At 52.8% G+C, this 24,091-nt stretch overlaps 3 protein-coding genes, 1 non-coding gene and 1 pseudogene across 23 annotated transcripts in view, besides 6 other annotated features; 3 read left to right on the top strand and 2 right to left on the bottom strand.

Moving 5' to 3' along the window:
• The window catches only part of NAA60 (N-alpha-acetyltransferase 60, NatF catalytic subunit), a 43,353-nt gene extending 40,475 nt beyond the window's left edge, over positions 1-2,878 (top strand). For 2 of the 9 annotated variants that reach the window (NM_001083601.3, NM_001083600.3), the window contains 2 exons: positions 614-976; positions 1,382-2,868. In NM_001083601.3, the coding sequence (NP_001077070.1) occupies positions 614-770 (157 nt within the window). In that variant the 3' untranslated portion in view covers positions 771-976; positions 1,382-2,868. Of the gene's footprint in view, positions 1-605 lie in introns of all 9 variants that reach the window. The other 7 variants (NM_024845.4, NM_001317095.2, NM_001317093.1 and 4 more) reach the window with 6 other exon arrangements.
• On the bottom strand, positions 1,296-1,384 carry MIR6126 (microRNA 6126). Its single transcript, NR_106741.1, has one exon. It is a non-coding gene; the product is annotated as a microRNA 6126 (primary transcript).
• Positions 4,004-4,298: an enhancer, noted in NCBI's record as "tiled region #11363; HepG2 Activating DNase matched - State 12:CtcfO". NCBI's record gives its function as "activates a minimal TATA promoter and a strong SV40 promoter by Sharpr-MPRA in HepG2 cells {active_cell/tissue: HepG2}" and the evidence as "EXISTENCE:reporter gene assay evidence [ECO:0000049][PMID:27701403]".
• Positions 8,963-9,172: a silencer, noted in NCBI's record as "fragment chr16:3543048-3543257 (GRCh37/hg19 assembly coordinates)". NCBI's record gives its function as "represses an EF-1alpha promoter that drives an FKBP-Casp9 reporter gene in an ReSE screen in K562 erythroleukemia cells {active_cell/tissue: K562}" and the evidence as "EXISTENCE:reporter gene assay evidence [ECO:0000049][PMID:32094911]".
• On the bottom strand, positions 9,399-12,567 carry C16orf90 (chromosome 16 open reading frame 90). Of its 6 annotated transcripts, none has more exons than NM_001353384.1 (3): positions 12,291-12,567; positions 10,439-10,792; positions 9,399-9,902 (listed from the first exon to the last, which is right to left on the bottom strand). In NM_001353384.1, exons 2-3 carry the CDS (start codon positions 10,575-10,577, stop codon positions 9,754-9,756), a joined length of 288 nt encoding a protein of 95 aa, NP_001340313.1. In that variant the 5' UTR covers positions 10,578-10,792; positions 12,291-12,567; the 3' UTR covers positions 9,399-9,753. The 6 variants fall into 6 exon arrangements, with proteins under 6 accessions (NP_001340313.1, NP_001340312.1, NP_001340311.1 ...); NM_001353383.1 differs by having other exon boundaries at positions 12,223-12,567; NM_001353382.1 differs by having other exon boundaries at positions 12,093-12,567.
• Positions 11,342-24,091, top strand: part of CLUAP1 (clusterin associated protein 1) — a 43,622-nt gene continuing 30,872 nt past the window's right edge. For 2 of the 7 annotated variants that reach the window (NM_001330454.2, NM_015041.3), the window contains exons 1-3: positions 16,919-17,004; positions 20,635-20,746; positions 22,246-22,330. In NM_001330454.2, coding sequence (NP_001317383.1) covers positions 16,983-17,004; positions 20,635-20,746; positions 22,246-22,330 — 219 coding nt within the window. In that variant the 5' untranslated portion in view covers positions 16,919-16,982. Of the gene's footprint in view, positions 11,637-16,918; positions 18,000-20,634; positions 20,747-22,245; positions 22,331-24,091 lie in introns of those variants that run through there. The other 5 variants (XM_047433797.1, XM_047433800.1, XM_047433798.1 and 2 more) reach the window with 5 other exon arrangements.
• RPL18P12 (ribosomal protein L18 pseudogene 12) lies at positions 12,082-12,718 on the top strand (annotated as a pseudogene).
• Positions 16,604-16,653: an enhancer, noted in NCBI's record as "active region_10323". NCBI's record gives its function as "activates an Ori minimal core promoter by ATAC-STARR-seq in GM12878 lymphoblastoid cells {active_cell/tissue: GM12878}" and the evidence as "EXISTENCE:reporter gene assay evidence [ECO:0000049][PMID:35858748]".
• Positions 16,774-17,153: an enhancer, noted in NCBI's record as "active region_10324". NCBI's record gives its function as "activates an Ori minimal core promoter by ATAC-STARR-seq in GM12878 lymphoblastoid cells {active_cell/tissue: GM12878}" and the evidence as "EXISTENCE:reporter gene assay evidence [ECO:0000049][PMID:35858748]".
• Positions 17,661-18,178: an enhancer, noted in NCBI's record as "H3K4me1 hESC enhancer chr16:3551746-3552263 (GRCh37/hg19 assembly coordinates)". NCBI's record gives its function as "activates a minimal SCP1, AML or CMV promoter by ChIP-STARR-seq in primed H9 embryonic stem cells {active_cell/tissue: H9 hESC(primed)}" and the evidence as "EXISTENCE:reporter gene assay evidence [ECO:0000049][PMID:30033119]".
• Positions 18,179-18,695: an enhancer, noted in NCBI's record as "H3K4me1 hESC enhancer chr16:3552264-3552780 (GRCh37/hg19 assembly coordinates)". NCBI's record gives its function as "activates a minimal SCP1, AML or CMV promoter by ChIP-STARR-seq in primed H9 embryonic stem cells {active_cell/tissue: H9 hESC(primed)}" and the evidence as "EXISTENCE:reporter gene assay evidence [ECO:0000049][PMID:30033119]".

Raw genomic sequence — 24,091 nt, forward strand, 5'->3', positions numbered from 1 at the left:
CCTCCTTAACTTTCACTGGCCCCTGACAGGTCAGAGGGAAGCCAGGAAACTTTATAATAGTCAGAATGTGGCCCAAAAAAATGCTGTGCGTGTGTGTGTGTGTTTTCAAATTCATGAGTCTAGGATTTATTCATTACATAGAATAATAAGCAGGAAAGAGAGGGGTGACCCCACACTCCACAGGCCGTCTAGCTTATGTGAAGACAGGCATCCAGGGGGTCAGCACTGTTGACCCCCTCCTTGTCATATGGACAGGGCTCTGTCCCTCTTGCTGCCACAAAGGTTGAGAATCTAGGGAGAACCAGAAGCACCTGCCCTTCTGCCAGGCCCCTTCCCCACCCCCCGTGCATCCCTGGGTGTGGTGTCCACATGCCTGCTGCCTCACTCAGAAGGCCCTTCTGTCCCCAGACCCCACCCTCTGTTGTTTTGCACAGCAGAGGCCACTTCGTCTCATGAGCCTTTCCAGCTCTGCAGAGGCTTAGCGGGCTCTCAGCCTCCGAAGCCTGGCTTGCCATCTGCACACAGTCCCACAGGCCACTGCGCGGGCCCCTGATGACTGTGCCCTGGCGAGCGTGGTCAGGGCAAGTCGGAATCTTCCTTAACAGAGCCCCACGGACTACATCCAGCACCTGGGCTCTGCACTAGCCAGCCTGAGCCCCTGCTCCATTCCGCACAGAGTCTACCGCCAGGCCCACAGCCTGCTCTGCAGCTTCCTGCCATGGTCGGGCATCTCTTCCAAGAGTGGCATCGAGTACAGCCGGACCATGTGATGTCGGCTGGGCAGCCGCCACCAGGCCCCACCCTTCGGCCGCCCGCAGAGCCCGCCTTCCTGTCCATCTGACCCCTTCTGTTTTCTGCAAGGAGCTGCCAGCCATCTAACTGGGCTCGTCGGCCTGCCCCAGCTGCAGGCCCGGTGCTACACGGGCTCGGGAACAGAACATCGTGGGCATGCGCAGAGCATGCCCATCCGTGGCAGGTACGCCACAGCAGACACAAAGGTATGGGAGCTTGGTGCCTCCAGCCACAAAAGTGGAAGGCCCTGGATGGGCACAGAGAACGGCAGAGCCGGAAGGGGCCGTGGGGACTGCAGAGTCCACCACCTTATGCACCAGCACAGCCCAGAGGTTTGGTGACTTGTGCCAAGCTAACACAGCAGGCTCCATGGCAACTGGGCTGTGCACCCGACTTTGGATCCATCAGTGCCTTTATTTGTGTGGGGACCGAGAGGCGCCTAGTGGCTGCAGGCAGACACCATGGCCTGGAGAAGGGCTCATGCTCCTGGAGCACCCAGGCCCAGCTGTGTGGCCCATAGGCAGGGTGTGGGGTGGGCAGAGTGTCTCCGCCGGGCCTTCACCCTGCCCTGCTCTTCTCTTTCCCACAGGCTCTTCAGCTCCCCTCCCTGCTTCTGGAAACCTCTGCCTGCTGCCCTGGCCCTGCCCCCCTGCGCATGCACCGTCCCCAGGGCTGACCCAGTGTGGCTGCATTCACTGGGAGGGGCCTGCCCTCACTGGGCCTCTCCCACTCCGCTGCCTGTTCTTGCAGCTCCTTCCTGGAAAGCTGGAGGGGACTTTCTCCTGCAAGGGAGGAACGCAAGTATTATGGACACACTTGACCGTAAAGGCACAGGAGCCTCGGAACAAGGGGGCGCAATAAAGGGAATGGCCCGTCCCCTTCCAGAACCAGCCCAAAGAAGCCTGGGGGGTGAGGAGTGGCCCCCACTCCTCCATGAGGGGCTGATGAGGGGTGGGCAGCCTGGGGGAGGCTTTCCTCGCAAGCACAGAGCTCTGAGGCTCAGCCCCCTGGCACAGGCGGTCACGCATCAGGACGGTTCCTACTCCTCAGCACCTTCCGTGCAGTTACCAGTGCCCTGGGAGGTCACACTGCCCGTCGGACCTTGGCATGCTCCATTCAGCTGACCTGCTGAGGACAGGCATCGCCGAGACTCCTTGGGTCCTCCCCGCCCTCCCTCATGCTGCCACAAGCTGCTGCTCCAAGGCCTGGCCACATGCAGACAGGAGGAAGCTGAGCTCGACATTAGGCCTCAAGGCTGCCATCTGTCTTGTAGGGCCTGGCCTTGTGGGCAGGGGGCAGTCCTGTGCCTTGTGGGCCCTCAGCCTCTGAGGGCAGAGATGCTGTCAGTGCCGCAGGTGCATCACATACTTCTAGCATCCTCTCCACCCTGCATTCCAAATGCTGCTTGCTGCCTGCCCTGCCCTCCGATGCAGGGGTGGGGTGGGGGGCGGAGTCCCGCCCAGCATAGCTGCAGTGTCACAAAGCCATGGCAGAGGGTCCTAGCGGCGCCACCCTGCCCCAGCCTGAGGAGGAGGGAGAGGGAGGAACAACCCTGGGCAGACGGGGCCTCAGGGACCTGTGTCCTTCCGCCTCCAGAGCTGCCCAGCCACGGGCTCTCAGGGTGCTGGGGCAGCCCCAGGTCCCCTCTTGAACTCAGCTGGGGCCAGGGGCCCTCAGAATGAAGGCAGGCACCAGGCAGGAGCAGCATCCCCCTCCTTGACGGTGCTGGCAGGAGGGCCGCGCCATGCTGACTGCTTGAACCTCTGCTGACCTGACAGTGCTGGCGGGAGGGCCGCACCATGCTGACTGCCTGAATCTCTGCTGAGGCTGCCTGCCTGCCGGGCCCAGCTCAGCGCCCTCTCCACTGCGAATCAGTGGCGATCATGTGATTTCTATTTCTGCCCCACAGGGTAAGGGACGAGTCTTCTGGAAGGCTCTGCCATGGACATTTGTCCTCGGGCTCAGAGGCCCCACCCTGCCCCACACCTGCCCCTGATCACTGCAGTGTCCAGCCCAGTGTTGAACAGATTGTAGCGTTCTGTCTCATTACGAGCAAATAAATAGACTTTCATTGGAGTTCGTCACATCCTGTTTCCCGCACCCGCCTGGCTGCACCTCGGGCCTCACCCTGTAGCTGAAGTTGGCCTCGAGCTACTTGTCACTGGCAAGGCCCAAGGATGGCTTCCAGATAAAGGGGACAGTGGTTTTGTGTGATTAACCCTGTCAGAGAATGAGGACCTTTGGCCAGGCACGGTGGCTCACGCCTGTAATTCTAGCACTTTGGGAGGCCGAAGTGGGCGGATCACGAGGTCAGATCGAGACCAGCCTGGCCAACATGGTGAAACCTCATCTCTACTAAAATACAAAAATTAGCCGGGCGTGGTGGTGTGCACGTGTAGCCCCAGCTACTCGGGAGCCTGAGGCAGGAGAGCTTGAACCCAGGAGGCGGAGGTTACAGTGAGCTGAGATGGCGCCATTGCACTCCAGCCTGGTGACAGAGCGAGACTCCAGAAAAAGAATGTGAAACTGGGGAAGAGGTTCTAGAGTTGAGAAGCACATTAGGTCCTTTTTTCACTGGAAGGTCCCCAGCAGCTGCCCTGTCTGGGCATCTCCCTGGCTGTAGGCCTTGAGCTGGGGCCCAGTCCAGGCAGGCGGCTCCAAGGGTGATTTGGTGCACCCTGCTGTGGAGCCTGAGGTGCGTGCCCACCCAGCACAGACCTGGTGCTTCCGTCAGCCTCTCATGGAAACTTCTGGTCACCCTCAAGGGATGATATTGTTCCTCTTAGAGATGAGGAGAACTGGCTCGGGGGCTGGGAGTTACCAAGGAGCCACAGTTTGTGAGTGTTGGGCCCAGGCCTGGGCCACTCTGAAGCCTGCGTGGCTGCTCTGTTACACCATTCCTGTGCCTTTGACCTCATCCAGTGGCCGGGAGACATGCAACTTGCCGAGGGTCCTCCCAGGAGAGGGTCTGAAGCATCTGCAAGATGGAGTAGGGGTGGACGCTGGTGCCCTGGGAGGCCAGGCAGCTGGGCGCGCTGGACCCATGTCCAAAGCCATGGGGTGAGTGAAACCAGATTAACCCGCTGAGCTTGCCCACGGGAGCGTCTGCTGGGGAGACACAGTCTTGGTTACTCCAGCAAGGACAGTTGCACCTTTGCTGATGAGTCAGCTTGCGGTTAAGAGGGTAACTCTTTGGGGCCCTTGGTCAATCGTGTGACCAGTTAGTAACTTGCCCAGGTGGGGCTGCGGCTCCTCAGGCCCTGCTTCAGTGAGGCCAGGCAGGACTGCCACTGCTCCAGGCCTCTCACCATAGCCCCACCGGACCGCAGAGCTGGGACACAAACGCTCGTGCTCCACTGGGGGGCAGAAAGGGAGTGTGGGACCCAGGGAGAGGTAGGACACACACAGGATGCACCTGGACATAGCACGGAGGCCAGCCCTGAACGGAGCTGGCTCTGCCCCAGGCCTGCTCAGGGGTGGAGCCCGAGGCAGCCTTGGGTCTCCCCGCTCCCTGCACACACCACCCAAGGATCTCCTATAGGGTAGGGGTCCTTCATACTTTCAGGACGGAGACAGACTCCTGGTCTTCCATTCCTAGCCCACCGGCGTTCAGGGACTCACGGGGTAAGGGGCGTGCCCAGGGATGGTCAGTGTATTTTCTTTTTTTTTTTTTTTTTTGAGATGGAATCTCATTCTGTTTGCACTCCAGCCTGGGTAACAGAGTGAGATCTTGGCTCACTGCCAGCTTGGCCTCCCGGGTTCACGCCATTCTCCTGTCTCAGCCTCCCGAGTAGCTGGTACAACAGGCGCCTGCCACCATGCCCGGCTATTTTTTTGTATTTTTAGTAGAGACGGGGTTTCACCATGTTAGCCAGGATGGTCTCGATCTCCTGACCGCGTGATCCGCCCGCCTCGGCCTCCCAAAGTGCTGGGATTACAGGCATGAGCCACCGCGTCCGGCTGAGGTCAATGTGTATTTTCATGAGCGTCCGCTTGCTCAGGCCAAGTGCTGCTTTCTCCACATCGACTCCCACCCCAGCGTGCCATGATTGTGGCTTTTTTGCCTCTCAGTCTGTTGGAGTGCTTCTCAAAAAGGCTTTGGGAGGTTTTGCGGGAGGGACTGTCTAGAGGCCAATTTAGGGCCAGTTTTCTTTGGGGCCAGCATGTGGCTGCAGCAGATGTCCTCTCGGGTAAGATCCTGGCTACAGCTGTCTGTGGCTGAGTTACAGACTGTCTTTTTTTTTTTTTTTTTTTTTTTTTTTTTTTTTGAAACGGAACCTGCTCTCTCCCCCAAACTGGCGTCCAGTGGCGTGATCTCGGCTCACTGCAAGCTCCGCCTCCCGGGTTCACACCATTCTCCCGCCTCAGCCTCTGGAGTAGCTGGGACTACAGGGGCCCGCCACCATGCCTGGCTAATTTTTTTTGTATTTTTAGTAGAGATGGGGTTTCACCGTGTTAGCCAGGATGGTCTCGATCTCCTGACCTCGTGATCTGCCCACCTCGGCCTCCCAAAGTGCTGGGATTACAGGCATGAGCCACCGTGCCTGCCGGAGTAACAGACTGTCTTAAAGCTTCACAGCCTAAGCAGGGGCCATTCTGTTTGCTTCCAATTCCAGCTGGGACAGGAGTCAGCAGGGACTCCATGTGGTATTAGCCAGGCAGGCTGGCGGGGCTGGAGGACCTGTGTGAAAGATGGCCCTACCCACAGGGCTGCCCACAGTGAGCTCAGCAGTGGCCATGGGCTTGGCTCCTTCCTTCCATGGCTTCCTCAGGCTAGGCTGGTTTTGCACCATACCACAGTCCCAGGGTAGACTCCTTACGGGGCCACTGACCTCCTGGGAAGCTGCCAGGCTTCCTTACTGCCCAGAAGTGACACCCCGCCACTTCTGCCACATTCTACTGGTAAAGCAGGATCTGGAGCCTGTCCCAATTCAAGGGGAGGGGGCTACACAGGGGCCAGAACACGAAGACACGTGGCTCATCCGGGGTAGCAGAAGGGCCACTGACCATAGCCTGGGACCCCCCCCCCCACCCACCCAAAATCTGGAGCCTGGGGCAACCTGTGCTCCTCTCTGAGCCTCCACTCTTTGTTCAGAAGTGAGTGGAGTCCAGGTGCGGTGGCTGATGCCTGTAATCCCAGTACTTCAGGAGGCCAAGGTGGGAGGATCTCTTAAGCTCAGGGGTTCAAGACCAGCCTGGGAAACATAGTGAGACCCTCATCTCTTAAAAAAATAGAAAATCGGCCAGGCGCGGTGGCTCACACTGGTAATCCCAACACTTTGGGAGGCCGAGGAGGGCAGATCACGAGGTCAGGAGATCGAGACCATTCTGCCTAACACGGTGAAACCCCATCTCTATTAAAAATACAAAAAATTAGCCGGGCGTGGTGGCGGGCGCCTGTAGTCCCAGCTACTCAGGAGGCTGAGGCAGGACAATGGTGAACCCAGGAGGCGGAGGTTGCAGTGAGCCGAGATCATGCCACTGCACTCCTGCCTGGGCGACAGAGCAAGACTCCGTCTCAAAAAAAAAAAAAAAAAAAAAAAAAAAAAAAAAAAGCTGGGCATGGTGGTGGCCCACGCCTGTAGTCTCTGCTACTCAGGAGGCTGAGATGGTAGGGTCACTTGGCTCAGGAGCTCAAGGCTGCAGTGAGCTATGATTGTTAAACATAGGGCCCAGCGTGGAGCCTCACCTATAATCCCAGCACTTTAGGAGGTGGAGGCGGGAGCATTGCTTGAGGCTGGGAGTTGGAGACCAGGGGCAACATAGCAAGACCCTTTCTCTACCAAAAAAAAGTTTGTAATTAGCTGGACATGGTGGCAACTGCCTTTGGTTCCAGCTACTCAGGAGGCTGAGGCAGGAAGATCACTTGAGGCCAGGAGTTCAAGGCTGCAGTGAGTTAAGATCATGCTACTGCACTCCAGGCTGGGAGACAGTGAGACACTGTCTCAAAAAAAAGAAAAGGGGAAAAAAAGTGGATTAGGCCCCTAACGGTCTCCAAGCTCCAAGGACTTTGTATTGCTGGCCTCTGTGCGGCCTCAGTTATGCCCAGCGTCCGCAGCTGGTGGCTGGTGCAGGCGTCCTTCCATGTTTACTCAGCAGCCTCCCTAATGTCAGTCTTTAAGTGGTCTCTTGGATCCACCTGGCCTCTGCGTCTCTGGGGAATGAGTGTTGTGGGAGAGAGAGAAGGCAGCTGCCCCTCCGCCACCCCATGTGACTCATCAGTGGACCTCAGGCCCGCTGCATCCCACCCACACCTGCCCCATCACAGCTGCTCTTGGGTGCAGCATGTAAACACCTGCTCTCTCAGAGCTCCCCCTCCTGGGGACCGCTACAGCCTTGGGTGTCCCCCACCCCGGGCCATGCCTGCATACTTAGAACAACCCATAAAACCACCCAAGGACTGAAGTCTCCAGGATCTGCTGTCCCAGGGACACAAGAACTGTCCAGGGTGGGTACAGGAGAAGGGAAGGAGCCTGGCTGTCCTGGGCACGTCACATGCGACCTGGCAGGAGCCCAAAGCAGGGGTGGCGCTGAGCCCTAGCCTGACCCGGGCTGCACCGGCTGGAGTGACCAGACGGGAAGGTCACTGAGGCAAACCCAGGTGCTCCCGTCTTCTTCCCATAGGATGGAGACCTGGTGGAATAGAACAAGTGTGTTAGTCCGTCTTGACACTGCTTCCTGAGACTGGGTTATTTATAAACAAAAGAGGTTTAATTGATTCAGCGTTCCAGGTGTCTGGGAGGCCTCAGGAAACTTACAATCACCATGGAAGGCAAAGGGGAAGCAGGCACCTTCTTGGCAAGGCGGCAGGACAGAGAGAGAGAGAGGCGGTGGTGGGGAGGAAGGGTGGAACTGCCAAACACATTTTATTATTTTTTTCTTTTTTTGAGACAAGAGTCTCACTCTATCACCCAGGCTGGAGTGCAGTGGCACAATCTCGGCTCACTGCAAGCTCTGCCTCCCGGGTTCATGCCATTCTCCTGCCTCAGCCTCCTGAGTAGCTGGGACTACAGGCAGCTGCCACCATGCCCGGCTAATTTTTGTATTTTTAGTACAGACAGTGTTTCACCGTGTTAGCCAGGATGGTCTTGATCTCCTGACCTTGTGATCCGCCCGCCTCAGCCTCCCAAAGTGTTGGCATTACAGGCGTGAGCCACTGCACCTGGCCCACCGCCAAACACTTTTAAACCATCAGATCTTGTGATAACTCACTATCATGAGAGCAGCATGGCGGAACCCCCCACCCCCCACCCCATGATCCAATCACCTCCCATGAGAACCCTCCCTCAACACATGGGGATTACAATTGGAGATGAAATTTGGGTGGGGACACAGCCTAACTGTATCAGCAGGCTTCTCATCCACAGTAACAGTGCTCCCGAGGGACACCGGACAATGTCTGGAGACACTTGCTGTCACAGCTTAGAGGAGGGTGCTACAGATACCAAGTGGGTGGTGGCCAGAGATGCTGCTTAACATCCTACATGCACAGGACAGCCTCCATCCCAAAGAAAGATCCCATCCCAAACATCAACAGAGTCGAGTGGAGACACCCCGGCACAGAGGAAGCCCACACCTGGGTGCGCAGAGTCTGGTCCGGCTGGGAGGAGAAGGGCTGTGCTCATCCTGCCCAGAGGGACCTGGGAGCTGGGGTCCCGCGGAGCAGTGACCTCACCTGGTAGGGGGCAGGTGGGGCCGAGGTCCACATCCCTGCCTCTGCTGCTGTCCTCCCTGGTGCCCTCCCTGACCCCGCCCTGCCTTCCTTCATCCGCTGCGCCCTCCACCCACAATGCCATGGCCTGCATTTAGGATCCTCCTGAGGCAGGAGGATCACTTGAGCTCAGGAGTTTGAGACCAGCCTGGGCAACAGCAGGACCCCCTCCCCCCAACTCTTAAAACAACAGAAAATTAGGCCGGGCACGGCGGCTCACGCCTGTAATCCCAGCACTTTGGGAGGCTGAGGTCAGGAGATGGAGATCATCTTGGCTAACACGGTGAAACCCCGTCTCTACTAAAAAAATACAAATAAATTAGCCGGGCGCGGTGGCGGGCGCCTATAGTCCCAGCTACTCGGGAGGCTGAGGCAGGAGAATGGCGTGAACCTGGGAGTTGGAGCTTGAAGTGAGCCGAGATTGCACCACTGCACTCCAGCCTGGGCCACAGAGCAAGACTCCGTCTCAAAAAAAAAAAAAAAAAAAAGACAGTCTGTAACTCAGCCACAGACAGCCGTAGCCAGGATCTCACCCCTGAGAAGGACATCTGCTGCAGCCACATGCTGGCCCCAAAGAAAACTGGCTCTAAATTGGCCTCTAGACAGTTCTAGACTGCATCTCAAAAAAAAAAAGAAAAGAAAATTAGCCAGGCATGGTGGCTGAAAAGGTGGGCTGTTGAGCCCCTACCCACCCTATGGAGCCAAGCTCAGCAGTGTCTCATCCAGGAAGCTCTCACAGACAAGTATGGTGTTCCCACAGGCCCTTGCCCTAGCTCACGCCTCTCATGCCCTGGCAACTAAGAGTGGGGGCGCGGCAGACCCATCCCTGGAGAGACACAGGACTGTTTTTCTCACCAAACTGGCCTGATGACAGACAGGCAGATGGACAAGAACGTGCAGGCCTTGGCTTTTATTGAGATCAGAGCTGTGGGCTCCCCGGCCTCTCAGGGAGGCGGTGGCGGGGGGGCCTGATTCTGCACTCAGCCCGGCCTCCCAGGTACAAGTGGCTGACTGGAGTCTAAGCAGGCTGCAAGGGCACGGCCATGCTTCTATTGCTTCTGCCCCTCCCTCGGAACCTCCTCCTCCTCCCTCTCCCCATCACATTCTCCCGAGGCCCAGGCCTGGGCGCTGGGCCGCTGCCTGGGCCACCCCATGTGGCAGGGCCACTGCCGGGGGCCGAGCCCCTCCTGCTCAGGCTGCCTCCTCGGCCATCCTGCCCCTCCTGTACCCAGTCCTGGCACTCGGGATCCCTATGGCCTCTCCAGGGCCCCAGAGCGGGTTCTCTTGCACAAGGGACACATGGCCTCTTCCCAGGTCCCCCAGGACCTCTTGGGCCTGAGCCTAGAAGGACTAGGCTGGGGGAGGGCACCCTTGTCTGGGTCCATGCTGGAACTGGAAGCTGAGGAAAGAGGAGAGAAAGGAGTCACTTGAGGGACCCAAGGGGAGGCTGGGGGGGAGGCTGGCAGCCCACCCTGGGGTTTCCAGAATCCGATATTCTTGAAAACAGAAGGGAGGAGGGCAATGCTTCCTCCTTAACAGAATCCCCAGGGGAGGGAGGAGGTTGAGGGAACAGAATGGTTCAAGCTGGAAGGACCCTCATCTAACCTGAACCCTCATTTTACAAGTGAGAAAACTGAGGCCCAGCAAGGGAGACAGATTCCAAGGCCCCTCACCGAGTGTGGAGCTGGGGCAGTCACCCAGCCCTCCCTCCCAGATCCTCCCTTTTTCTCGCACCGCTTTGTCCCTGGTGGATTCTCCAGACCCCGCTTAGCTGTGCGTGATGCAGAGATGGGGACAGATTCATCAAGATCTTGGCCTTCTGGGGCATGGTGCCACTGTGGAGGCTTGGGAGTGGAGAAGGGCCCGCCTGAGGCCCCAGCCCAACCATCCCCTAGGGTCTTCCCCCGTGCCCAGTCCTGCCTTGACAGAGCTCACCACTGCTTCCCAGGCTGTCCCTGGGCAATCGGGCTTCCAGAAGGGCTGAACAGAGGCTGTTACGTGGGCCCAGAGTCCCCTGTGGCAGGTCCAGGGCCCAGGCTGTGCCCTCAGGCTGTGGCAGGCAGCCCCCAGCCATAAGCCGGCCCAGCCAGTGGCTCTCACACTGGCCAGTGGGTGGCGGGTGGCTCTCCAGGTAGAGGCCCAGGCCCCGGAGGTGGCGCAGCCGGAAGTTCTTGGGCTTGCTTCCCTGGGCACTGGGGCACTGCGGCTGCGGGGACCCCAGGCCCCCCTCGTAGATGTTGGGGGGTGCGTCAGGGTGGCCGGGGCGTCCTTGGGCCTGGCTCACTGCATCTGCAGAGGAGACAGCGGGAGGGTGGTGGCCAGCCCCCCACAGCAGCCATGAGGGGAGGGTGCAGTCACATACCTCTGAGACCAGCTCACATGATGGGCTACACCCCCAGCCAACCTGGCCTCAGTTTACCTGTGTGTCAAATAGTCTCAGTCCACTGCCTCCCCTGCCCATGCCCAAGACACGACTCCTCTTCCCACTCCCAACCAACAGGGAGGCCTGGGAAGCCTCGGGCCTTGGTACTAAGAGTGCTTTCAGGACCTCAAGTCCTTTCTACTACCCTGTTCTGCCCGCTACCCTAGGAAGAGTATTCTGGTCCCCACAGAGAAATTGCACAGTGGGTTTGAGAGAAAGTGGCCAGCCCAGGGGCTCATGGCCTGGCCCAGTGGCCATTCCCCTCTCCCAAGCATACATGTCCCTGAGGCCACCCCTCGGCTTTGGGCCCAGGTGGGGACAGAAGCCTATCTCTCTTCCTGCCACTCCTCCCCACAGCCCGGCACCTTCTCTTATGTGCAGCTCAGAAAATGCACAGACCAAGGCTTCCATGGAGGGCCAGTGTGGTGGGGAGGAGCAACCAGGACTTGGGTGCAGCAGGGCCCTGCTCTCCCCTGCCTAGGGGGTACATTGGCAGGTCTCCCCTGGCAACTGGTTCTTATGACATCACGGGGAAGACTCCCAGCCTTCCTGGACCCCTAGTTTGGGAGAGGACAGTGCCCAAGGCAAGGGCAGGGTGAAAGAAAGGCATGGGAAGGGGCCAGAACCCTGGGGGAAGTCCCTGGTCCCTCTGGCTGGGGTCAGGCCACATAAAACAGACAGCTCTGGCAAACTGGAGAGTCCTTCTCTCAGGTGATCTCTTGGGGCCAGCTTCCTCATCTGGGGTGGGAAATGAGGGTTCAGGAGTACAGACCTAGGAAGACCTAGGTCGGTACTTTGAAAATGCTGAAAAGGGGCTGGGGGCGGTGGCTCATGCCTGTAATCCCAGCACTGTGGGAGGCCGAGGCAGGCTGATCAGTTGAGGTCTGTGGGAGGCCGGGGTGGGCGGATCATGAGGTCAGGAGATCGAGACCATCCTGGCTAACACGGTGAAACCCCGTCTCTACTAAAAATACAAAAAAATTAGCCGGGCGTCGTGGCGGGAGCCTGTAGTCCCAGTTACTCAGGAGGCTGAGGCAGGAGAATGGCGTGAACCCGGGAGGCGAAGCTTGCAGTGAGCCCAGATCGCGCCACTGCACTCCAGCCTGGGCTGCAGAGCGAGACTCCGTCTCAAAAAAAAAAAAAAGTTAAACATTCATCTTTCCGGACCTGGCCAAGCAGGAAGCGCCATCATGGGAGCTGACGTCCGCCACAAGAAGGACCTAAAGGTTCGGCGCAAAGAGCCCAAGAGCCAGGATATCTAACTGAGGCTGTTTGTTGGTCAAGCTGTACAGGTTACCGTCCAGACGAACTAACTCCACATTCAACCAGGTTGTGCTGAAGAGGTTGTTTATGAGTCGCACCAACCGGCCACCTCTGTCCGTTTCCCGGATGATCCGGAAGATGAAGCTTCCTGGCTGGGAAAACAAAACGGCCGTGGTTGTGGGGACGCTTAACGGATGACGCGAGGGTTCAGGAGGTGCCCAAACTTAAGGTGTGTGCGCTGCCCGTGACCAGCCGGCCCACAGCGGCATCCTCAGGGTGGGGGCCAAGATCCTGACTTTCGATCAGCTGGCCCTGGACTCCCTCAAGGACGGCGGCCCCGTCCTACTCTCCGGTCTTCGCAAGGGCCGACAGGTGTACCGGCATTTCGGCAAGGCCCTGGGAACCCCACACAGCCACACCAAACGCTATTTCCGCTCCAGGGACCAGAAGTTCGAGCGCGCCAGAGGCCTACGGGCCAGCCGAGGCTACAAAAACGAACCCTCTTATTAAAAAGATTTTGGATGCTGACAAAAAAACAAAAAGTTAAAACATTCAATTTTCTCTTGTCACAGACGACCTGATTTTTCTTTTTTTCTTTTCTTTTTTTTTTTTTTTAAGATGGAGTCTCACTTTGGCGCCCAGGCTGGAGTGCAGTGGCGCGATCTCGGTTCACTGCAACCTCCGCCTCCCGAGTTCAAGAGCTTCTCCTGCCTCGGCCTCCCCAGCAGGTGGGATTACAGGCACCCACCACCACGCCCAACGGATCTTTGTATTTTTAGTAGAGACAGGCTTTCGCCATGTTGGCCAGGCTGGTCTCAAACTCCTGACGTCAGGTGATCCGCCCACCTCGGCCTCCCAAAGTGCTGGGATTACAGGCATGACCCACCGCGCCCAGCAACCTGATCTTGTATGTAGGAAATATTAAATAATTCATACTTGAAAAAAAAAAATCCTGAACCTAGTAGAGCTTTTTCAGAGCTAATGAAGTTCAGAAAAATCTCAAGTCATAAAATCACCACACAAAAATTAATTGTATTTCTAGATACTAGCAAAGAATAAAAAGAATAAAATAGGAATACATTTAACCAAGGAGGTATAAGACAACTCTGAATACTATAAAACATTGCTGAGAGAATCTAAAGACTTAAATAAATTGGAAAGCATCACATGTTCATGGACTGAAGACTTAATATTGTTAAGATAGCAACACTCCCCAAAGTGCTCAGTACAATTCTTATCAAAATCAAAATGGCCTTCATGTAGTGTATTAGGCTTCTCCAGAGAAATATAGTCAGCAGAATGTATATAGATATTTACAGAGAAAATATTTATTAGAGGATAAATAAATCTCCTTATATAATTTTTTCTGAGATAGGGCCTTGCTCCATTGCCCAGGCTGAAGTACAGTGACATGATCACGGCTCACTGCAACCTCAACTTACCAGGCTCAGGCAATCCTCCCACCTTAGCCTCCCAAGTAGCTGGGACTACAGGTGTGCACCACCAGGCCTGGCTAATTTTTTAATTTATTTTCATTTTTTAATTTTTAATTTTTTAAATTTTTGCTGATGGAGATCTCACCATGTTGCCCAGAGCTAGTCTTGAACTCCTGGGCTCAAGTGATCCTCCTGCCTCCACCTCCCAAAGTGCTGGGGTGATAGGTGTGAGCCGCCGTGCCCAGCCAAGAGAAGATTTATTAGGGATATTGGCTTATGTGATTATCCGGGCTGAGAAGTCGCACAATATGCTGCCTGCAAGCTGGAGAACCAGGAAAACTGGTGCTGTAATTAAGTCTGGGTTCAAAAGCATGAGAATCTGGGTAGGGGTGGGGGTGAGGGCTGGTGTAAGTCCTGGTGTCCAGAAGTCCAAGAACCAGGAGCTCCAATGTCCAAGGGCACGGGAAGAAGGATGTCCCAGCCCATGAAGAGAGTGTGAATTCACCCCTCCTCTGCATTTTTGTCATAATTGGGCACCCAGCAGATTGGATGATGCCCACCACACTGGTGAGGGCAATCTTCTTTTTTTTTACTCAGTCTAGCAATTCAAATGCTAATCTCTTCTGGAAACGCTTACACAAGCACACTGAAAAATAATGTTTTACCAGCTATCAGGCATCCCAGTCAAGTTGACACACAAAATTAAGCATCACAAGCAGAAATGGAAAAGCTAATCCTAAAATTCATGTGAAATTACAAGGGAGCCCAAATAACCACAACAATCTTGGAAAAGCAAATCTTCAGAAATCAGAAACACGGCTGGGCATGGTGGCTCACACCTGTAATCCCAGCACTTTGGGACACTCAGGTGGTCAGATCACCTGAGGTCAAGAGTTTGTGACCAGCCTGGCCAACATAGGCGGGCGGATCATGAGGTCGGGAGATCCAGACCATCCTGGCAAACACGGTGAAAGCCCGTCTCTACTAAAAATACAAAAAAATTAGCCGGGTGTGGTGGTGGGCGCCTGTAGTCCCAGCTACTTGGGAGGCCGAGGCAGGAGAATGGCGTAAACCCAGGAGGCAGAGCTTGCAGTGAGCCGAGATCGCACCACTGGCACTCCAGACTGGGTAACAGAGCGAGACTCCATCTCAAAAAACAAACAAACAAACAAACAAACAACAACAACAAAAAAAAGTGAAAAGACAACCTATGAAATGGAAGAAAATATTGGCAAATCATATATCTGATAAGGGTCTCATAGGCAGAATATATAAAGAACACTTACAATTCAAAAACAAAAGGATGTTCAACCCAATTTTGAAATGGGCAAAGAAAATGAATAGACATTTTTCCAATGGAAATATACAAATGGTCATCAAACACGTAAAAAGATGTTCAACATCTTTAATCATCAGGGAAATGCAGGCCGCGTGCGGTGACTCACGCCAACATGGCGAAACTCCGTCTCTACCCAAAATACAAAAATTAGCTGGGCGCGGTGGCGCGCGTCTGTAATCCCAGCTCCTCCGGAGGCTGAGGCAGGAAAATCGCTTGAACCCTGGAGGCGGAGGTTTCAGTGAGCCGAGATTGTGCCACTGCACTCCAGCCTGGGCAACAAGAGCAAGAGTCCATCTCAAAAAAAAAAGTTCAAGTTGATCAACATCCTTTCAAGCCCTTGGCATTGTCAAGAGTTTTTTGTTGTTTTAGCCATTTTATCTAGATTTAATTTTTAGGTTTTTAACGTGTTACCTGATATTTTAGCCAGTTTAATAACTTCATAGTGATATCTCATTGTGGTTTTAATATGCACTTCTCTAATAATAGCCTTGATCATCTCTTCATTTGCATATTAGCCATCCATATATCTTCTTTTGTGAAGTAGCTTTTAAAATGTTTTCTCCATTCTCTAATTAGACTGTTTCTCATTATTGAGTGTTGAGAGTTCTTGATACATTCTGGATACACGTCTCTTTATCAGATATGTGTTTTGTGCATATTTTCTTCTAGACTGTGGCTTATCTTTTGTTTTTCTTAATAACACGTGAAGCAACATTTATGGGAGGCCATTGTTTTGGAGCGAGCTCCTGCACAAGGTACCAACGGACCAGACCAAACCAGAATGGAATCGCTAGTGCAAGGTGCCACGTAATCAATGCGAACTTAGAGACAGGCCAGTCTGCCAAAACACAGAAGATTCACTGCAACCAACAAAAGGGGCCCTGTCCACCTAGGCTGGCATAAGGAAGCCCCCTCTGCTTTAACCCAAAGAAATGCATCTGAAATAACCTGATGCCAACCAATCGCTTTGTGCACTACGCTGTTTCCTTGTTCCTGCTCAAGCTACCTTACAAAACCCGGCTGCTGTGCCACGCCTGGCGGGGCATCTCCCCATTTCACACGTGGAGGCCGCCCCTTCCTGCCGTCTCCTCGCGCCCCCATGCAGAGGCTAGGGCTGCCGGGACCCGCGCGGCGCGAGCGGCTCAGGGCCCCTTTCCGGCCTGTTGTGCAGCCCGAGCCGTCTGCGCGTGCGCGAGACCGAGGCCTGGCCTGCCTCTGGGCGCCCACAGTGATCCCGTCCTCCGCTCGGCAACCAGATTCCGACGAGGAGCGCGCTGTGCCTCGGACGGGGGAAGGCGGGCTTCCTGAGTATAGTGCATTTTTTTTTTTTTTTTTTTTTTGAGACAGAGTCTCGCTCTGTCGCCAGGCCGAAGGGCAGTGGCGCGATCTCGGCTCACTGCAACCTCTGCCTGCCGGGTTCAAGTAATTCTTCTGCCTCAGCCTCCCGAGTAGCTGGGATTACAGGTGTGCGCCACCACGCTTGGCAAATTTTTGTATTTTTTGGTAGAGACGGGGTTTCGCCATGTTGGCCAGGCTGGTCTCGAACTCCTGACCTCAAGTGATCCGCCCGCCTCGGCATCCCAAAGTGCTGGGATTGTAGGCGTGAGCCCCCGCGCCCAGCCAAGCATCGTGCATTCTTTATAGAAATGAGGGGGAAATAAGCAATATGGAAAGCGCCTAGCGCAATATCAAGCACGTAGTAGGTACTCAGAACCTGTCACCCAGCGCGAAACGTCCGCAAAGCGTGTAAACAGACGCCCAGAAGCTGGGAAGCTTGCAGCCCTCATAGACGCCGGTATCGCCACGCCCTCTGCCCTCGGCGTCTCAGGAGCGCTCTCTGCCGGCCCGCTCTCCCCGTGCGTATGCACGTGCCGCCGCGTCTTCGCTTCGCTTTTTGTTTGTCCCTGACCGTGCGCCGTCCAAGGGTCCATTGGTTGCCATAGAGATCGTCGAGCGCTGGGCCTGTGATCGCTGAGGGGCGAGCAGTTGCGACCCTGGGCTCCTGGGGACCTGAGCGTTATGTCTTTCCGCGACCTCCGCAGTAAGGCAGCCCCGCGCCCCTGTGACCTGCGGGTCTTCCAGAGATTCAGGGCTCCCGCCCGCCGGGTCCCCTGTGTAGGCGATCCCTGAGGCTTGCGCTGCCGGAGGCTCCTTTCGGGCCTCTGCGCCTCAGGGACCGCCTGACCCGCGGCTGCAACCCGGCCGAGCGTCCCAGGCCCTTCTTCGGCCATTTCTAGCGAGGATGGAAAGTTCTCTATCTGCCACTGGCCGCGTGTGGCTCAGAACGCTTGAAATGTGGCTAGTGCAGATGAATAACTGAATTTTTAAGTGTAATTTATTTCTGTTTGTGTAGCTGCATGCCGCTCTTCGCTACCGTATTGGAAAATGCATGGAGAGTTTAGAGACTATTTTTTGAGTTGGGTTAGCTTAGCGCTTAGAAAACCGAACAGCAGGCCGGGCGCGGTGGCTCACGCCCGTAAGCCCAACACTTTGGGAGGCCGAGGCGGGCGAATCACCTGAGGTCGGGAGTTCGAGACCAGCCTGACCAACATGGAGAAACCCCGTCTCTACTAAAATTACAAAATTAGCCGGGGGTGGTGGCGGGCGCCTGTAATCCCAGCTACTCGGGAGTCTGAAGCAGGAGAATCGCTTTGGAGGTTGCGGTGAGCCGAGATCGGGCCATTGCACTCCAGCCTAGGCAACAAGAGCGAAACAACATCTCAAAAAACAAAAAACAAACCAAAAAAAAAACAACCAGCAACGAAACCGAGGAGAGGAGGCTGGGTGATAATCATTGCGGCTAACATTTTTTGAGTTTTAACGATCTGCCAGGGCCCGCTCTGTGTTATGCGCATTTCATTTTAATCATCTGAACAACTCTGTGCCCCCTGTATTTGGTAGTGAGGAAACGGGCACAGAGAGGTCAGGTAACTTGGGCAGGTGATACAGGCGGTAGGAGGTGGCACTGGGGCTTGAATTCAGGTTGCCTGAACTCCAGACATCCTGAACTCCATCTGCATCCTTTCTGCAGGGCTGGTAAGGAGAAGGGAGCTCGAATTCCTTTGCTAAGAGGGTGGGGAAGTGGAAGAACGAGGCTAAGAGTGTTGGTTACGGCTGGGCGCAGTGGGTCACGCCTGTAATCCCAGCCCTTTGGAAGACCGAGGCAGGCGGATCACTTAATTTCAGGAGTTCTAGACTAGCCTAGCTAACATGGCGAAACCCTGCCGCTGCTAAAAATTCAAAAAATTAGCCGGGCATGGTGGCGCGCGTCTGTAGTCCCAGGTACTTGGGAAGCTGAGGCAGGAGAATTGCTTGATTCCGGGAGGCAGAGGTTGCAGTGAGCCAAGATGGCACCACTGCGCTCCACCCTGGCCGACAGAGTGAGACTGTCTTTAAAAAAAAAAAAAAAAAAGGAAAGGTAGATGATGATTGCCAATTTGGTGTGATCCGAGGGGTCTCTTAAAGCCAGTTTTCTCGTCCAATTGTTGGTGCCTGAAATTTTAGCATTAGAGATTACTCCTTTTGGTTATGAATTGCTCTTTTCTACAATGTAAAAATATCTAGGAAGACGCATTACCTTTTATCCATGCAGCCACTGAGCACCAGAGTGTGAATCCTGCCCTCTGGGGTTTGAAGGTTTTTGGTGGCCACACATCATGCAGGATGACTGTCTCCTCCCACATAGTTTTTAGAGAGGCCAGCACCCTGCCGGGGGACGTAGAATGGGGTTTTGTTGGGGAGCGCACACACGGAGATTTCGGAATATTTTGATCTTAAATTAATGCTCTGCAGTTGTGCAGTGTATGGTAAGGATCTTACTCAAATTAGTGTCTATTTTGACAATAACACCGCAGCATTAACAGAACTTGACTAGTACCTAGTGGTCAGGAGTATTTAGGCAGTGCCTTACTGTGTGAAGGAAAGGCTGCTGCTTTCTTTTCTGTTCTTTTTTTGAGACAGTCTTGCTCTGTCTCCCAGGCTGGAGTGCAGTGGTGTGATCTTAGCTCACTGCAACCTCTGCCTCCCAGCAATTCTCCTGCCCCAGCCTCCCCAGTAACTGGAATTATAGGCGCCCGCCACCACACTCACCTAACTTTTGTATTTTTATTTTTATTTTATTCTTTTCTTTTTTTGAGATGGAGTCTCGCTCTGTCACCCAGGCTGGAGTGCAGTGACGCGATCTCGGCTCACTGCAAGCTCCGCCTCCTGGGTTCACGCCATTCTCCTGCCTCAGCCTCCTAGTAGCTGGGACTACAGGTGCCCGCCACCACACCTGGCTAATTTTTTTGTATTTTTAGTAGAGACGGGGTTTCACCGTGTTAGCCAGGATGGTCTCAATCTCCTGACCTTGTGATCCACTCGCCTCGGCCTCCCAGAGTGCTGGGATTACAGGCGTGAGCCACTGTGCCCGGCAACTTTTGTATTTTTAGTAGAGGTGGGGTTTCACCATTTTGGTCAGGCTGGTCTTGAACTCCTGACCTCAGGTGATCTACCCTCCTCGGCTCCCAAAGTGCTGAGATTACAGGCGTGAACCACCCGCGCCTGGCCTTTTTTGTTTTTGTTTTTGAGACAGGGTCTCACTCTGTCACCCAGGCTGGAGTGCAGTCACATGATCTGAGCTTACTGCAACCTCCTGGGCCCAGGTGATCGTCCCACCTCAGCCTGCTGAATAGCTGAGACCACAGGCATGCACCACCACACCCAGTTAATTTTTTTTTTAATCTCTGTATTCACATTTCCCAGAAAACAGTTACAGAGTCCCTTTGTGACTTTGCTGTTTCCTGTGCTCACACTTTCTGTTTCATTGTCTTGCGAAGTCTGACCTGACTTGCAGTACCTAGGTAGGTTATTTGTGAACATTGATGGACCATTTTGAACATGGATCTTCAAGAAGAGTGCAGACAGACCTTAAATAACCAGGAAGCACACTGAATGTAGATCTTGGTACATATGGGAACTCAACAAATGTTTGTGGTGTTCATTTCCAAGTCCTGCTCTCTTGAAAGCACTAAGGCTTTTCCTGAGGTGACCCCAACCTATGGATCAACAAGTATTAGTATTACTGTTTCTTAATCTGTTTTATAGTAAATCTAAATATGGTTGTATAGTTCAACCACTCTATTTAAGATTTCTCTAAATACAAGGCGACTGATCTTTAAAACTTGTGTTATTTGGGTCCTATGTGGTCACTAAAATTAAAAAAAAAGACAACTCAGAAACATGAATGTCATCCTACGGATTCCCCTCAGAAATAACCACTGTTAACATTTTAAAACACTTTTTAATCAGCTGAATTTGAGTCAAACCACTGTTGACATTTAAAAATACTTTTTCTTCATGACATTTTATAAGGACGGGTGTTTCTTCCTTTTAGCAGTAAAAAGAAATGAGATACTAAAGAGAGAAATGAAATTCACAGCTAATCCCTCAATTCCATTTTCATGTATAGCCATCTACTTCTCCCATTGAACTTAAATATATGCTTTTTAGGTAGCATTTTTGGTATTTTAAATTTTATCTCCTTTTTGCTTTCCCTTGTAGAAAGTTGACAAATAGTCCCTAAAGCTGTCAATAGGTTGGAAATAAGAAGGAAAAGTAAAGACAATATCTAAGTTAATAAGTAGTTGCTGTGTGATGGGGAACTGAATGAATTGTATTTTTCCTTGGACAGATTTCACAGAGATGATGAGAGCCCTGGGATACCCTCGACATATTTCTATGGAAAATTTCCGTACACCCAATTTTGGACTTGTATCTGAAGTGCTTCTCTGGCTTGTGAAAAGGTTCGAACGGCACTTTATTGACATCTAAGAGTGAATACTGGGTTTTATTTATTAGTCATCTAGAAAACAGGACACAGCTGTGATGCTGCAAAAGGGAAAGTTTTTGGAATTTGACAGACCCAGCTGTATTCTGTTACAAAGGAGTTGTGGCTGGGCACAGTGGCTCACTGCTCTCATCCCAGCACTTCATAATCTCAGTCATTCAAGACTAGCCTCATCAACATAGCAAGACCCTGTCTCCATACACAAAAGAACAATTAGCTGAGCCTGGGTGGTACACACTCATAGTTCCAGCGACTCAGGAGGCTGAGGCAGGAGGATCACTTGATCCCAGGAGTTTGAGGCTGCAGTGCCACTGATCATGCTATTGCACACCAGCCCGGGCAGATTGAGACTGTGTCTCAAAAAACAAAATCAGGCCGGGCGCAGTGGCTCACGCCTGTAATCCCAGCACTTTGGGAGGCCGAGGCGGGTGGATCACGAGGTCAGGAGATCAAGACCATCCTGGCTAACACGGTGAAACCCCATCTCTATTAAAAACACAAAAAATTAGCCAGGCGTGGTGGCGGGCGCCTGTGGTCCCAGCTACTCAGGAGGCTGAGGCAGGAGAATGGAGTGAACCCGGGAGGCGGAGCATGCAGTGAGCCGAAGTGTGCAGTGAGCCGAGATAGCGCCACTGCAGTTCAGCCTGGGTGAAAGAGCGAGACTCCGTCTCAAAAAAAAAAAAAAAAAAAAAAAATCAGTGGAGTTTAAAGAATGCTGTGGGAGTGGGAAATATACCAGGAAGTCGTGAAAGGAGACGACTATTCCTCAGTAGGATGCTGGGCCAGGCTGCTCTTCAGCCCCTCATGGCAGAGTGACAGGGGCCTTTTTGCACATTCTGATCAGTACACTGGATTAGAAATAATGGAGATTTCTTTTTCTGTGAAAAAATTGAATATGTTATATGATTCAGGGTTGGCAGCTTTTTCTGTTAAGGACCAGATAATATTTTACCTTTTGCTAAATATAAAATTCATAAGATCTCTATTGCGTCTCTTCTTTTTGTTAAAATGTAAAAACAGTTCTTAGCTTGCAGGCTGTACAGGTCGGAGGCTGCAGTCTGCTGACCCCTGGTTTCAATACCTTGAAGAAAATAACTTCACCAACTCTGCTGCTGCTTAGAGCTGACTAATCGGCCCTAGCACTGATCTCTGAGTCAAGGGCTGTCAGCCAGGGTAGCAGTTCTGATTAGCTTCATGACATGGTGAGATCTGAGAGAGATTTAATTTTATAAGCTGAGATCCACATTTAGTTTTTGAAATCTGTTTTTCTTAGGTGGGGATTTGCTCCCTTGGTATTTGGTTTTGCTTTTGAAGTTTGCCTTGATCTCACTCTCCCACTTGGGGACTTGGAGAGCGTTGTGTTCCAGACCCGCTGTCCTCTCAGTTGCCCACATTCTCTTTAGTAGACTTTCTCCTTGGTTAACCCGTGCTCTCTCCTCTTACCTCTCTTGATAGATATGAGCCCCAGACTGACATCCCGCCTGACGTGGATACTGAACAGGACCGAGTTTTCTTCATTAAGGCAATTGCCCAGTTCATGGTTAGTGGACACTTATTTTGTGGAGTTGTAAAATTAAATAAACTAGAAAGGATGACTCCTTGTTAGGGCGACTTTCAAACTGTGTAATTGAGTTTTTCTTTCTTTTTTTTTGAGATGGAGTCTCATTCTCTCGCCCAGGCCGGAGTGCAGTGGCACAATCTTGGCTCACTGCAACCTCCGTCTCCTCGGGGGTTCTCCTGTCTCAGCCTCCCGAGTAGCTAGGATTAGAGGCACACGCCACCACACCTGGCTAATTTTTGCATTTTTAGTAGAGACTGGGTTTCACCATGTTGGCTAGGCTGGTCTCAAACTCCCGACCTCAAGTAATCCACCCTCCTTGGCCTCCCAAAGTGCTGGAATTACAGATGTGAGCCACCACGCGCCTGGCCTGAGTTTGCTTTCTAAAACCATTCCATTGCTGGGTTTCTGTGGCACCATTTCACCAGCGAAGTTCTTTTTGTTTGTCTTTTAATTCATTATTTGTTAAGAATTTTGTTTATGCCAGGTGTGGTGGCTCACGCCTGTAATCCCAGCACTTTGGAAGGCCGAGGTGGGCGGATCACGAGGTCAGGAGATTGAGACTATCCTGGCTAGCAGGGTGAAACCCCGTCTCCAGTAAAAATACAAAAAATTAGTTGGATGTGGTGGCGGGCACCTGTAGTCCCAGCTACTCGGGAGGCTGAGGCAGGAGAATGGTGTGAACCTGGGAGGCAGAGCTTGCAGTGAGCCGAGATCACGCCACTGCACTCCAGCCTGGGCAACAGAGCAAGACTCTGTCTTAAAAAAAAAAAAAAAGAATTTTATTTATTTATTTTTGAATAGATAACATATTTCATGGCTCACAAATTGAAAGTAGGCTGGGCGTGGTTGTTCATGCCTGTAATCCTAGCACTTTGGCAGGCCAAGGTGGGAGGATAGCTTGAGTCCAGGAGTTTGAGAACAGCCTGGGTGATGTAGTGAGATCCTGTCTCTACAAAAAATAAATTTAAAAAAAATTAGATGGGCCTGGTGACACGTGCCTGTAGTCTCAGGTGCTTGGGAGGCTGAGGTGGGAGGATTGCTTGAGCCCGGGAGGTTGAGGCTGCAGTGAGCCGGGATCATGTCATTGCACTCCAGCCCAGGTGACAGAGTGAGACCCTATCTCAAAAAAAAAAAAAAAATTAAAAACATTATGAAACAAAATGGAGTAAAATGACTTTTTACCCTATCTGCCCTGGGCCAAGTTCCATTCCAAATAACCACTATTTTAAATCTCTTCCAGAGTTTGTGTGTGTGTGTGTGTGTGTGTGTGTGTGTGTGTGTGCAAATAAAAATATATATTTTTCCTTTGTTTTACACAAATGGTACTGTATTCTACTTGATGTACTTACTGTACACTACAAGATGTTTAGCATCTTGCTTTACTTAATGGTATATTTTAGAGAACTTTCCAAATACATATAGAATTTCCTCATTCTGTTTACGCCTGAGTGGTATTGCTTGCATGGATTTGCCATAATTTATGTAATTTATATAGGTAGGCTTTTAGGTTGTCTGAAGCTTTGCTCTTTGGAACAGTGCTGTAACAAATAACCTGTACATCTCATTTTGTTTGTGTTTGAGTGTGTCCCTAGAATAAGTTCTTAGATTTGGGATTGCTGGGTCAAAAGATATGTGCATTTGTAATTTTGATGTCTTTTACCAAATTGCTCTCCATCAAGATTGTCCCAGTTTATACAACCACTCACAATGTTTGAGTCACTTGAATGCTTTGCTTTTATT

This window comes from Homo sapiens, chromosome 16, assembly GCF_000001405.40.
Source record: "Homo sapiens chromosome 16, GRCh38.p14 Primary Assembly".
In the NCBI taxonomy this organism is placed as follows: domain Eukaryota; kingdom Metazoa; phylum Chordata; class Mammalia; order Primates; family Hominidae; genus Homo; species Homo sapiens.

What these genes read in the sequence shown, in the direction of transcription:
- C16orf90 (NM_001080524.2), bottom strand. Translation starts at nt 11,336, where the DNA reads ATGGAAGCCTTGGTCTGTGCATTTTCTGAGCTGCACATAAGAGAAG. An exon ending in TGAGCTGCACATAAGAGAAG is followed by an intron (nt 10,793 to 11,290) that starts GTGCCGGGCTGT and finishes TCTCCTCTGCAG; the next exon opens with ATGCAGTGAGCCAGGCCCAA. An exon ending in GGACAGCCTGGGAAGCAGTG is followed by an intron (nt 9,903 to 10,438) that starts GTGAGCTCTGTC and finishes CTCTTTCCTCAG; the next exon opens with CTTCCAGTTCCAGCATGGAC.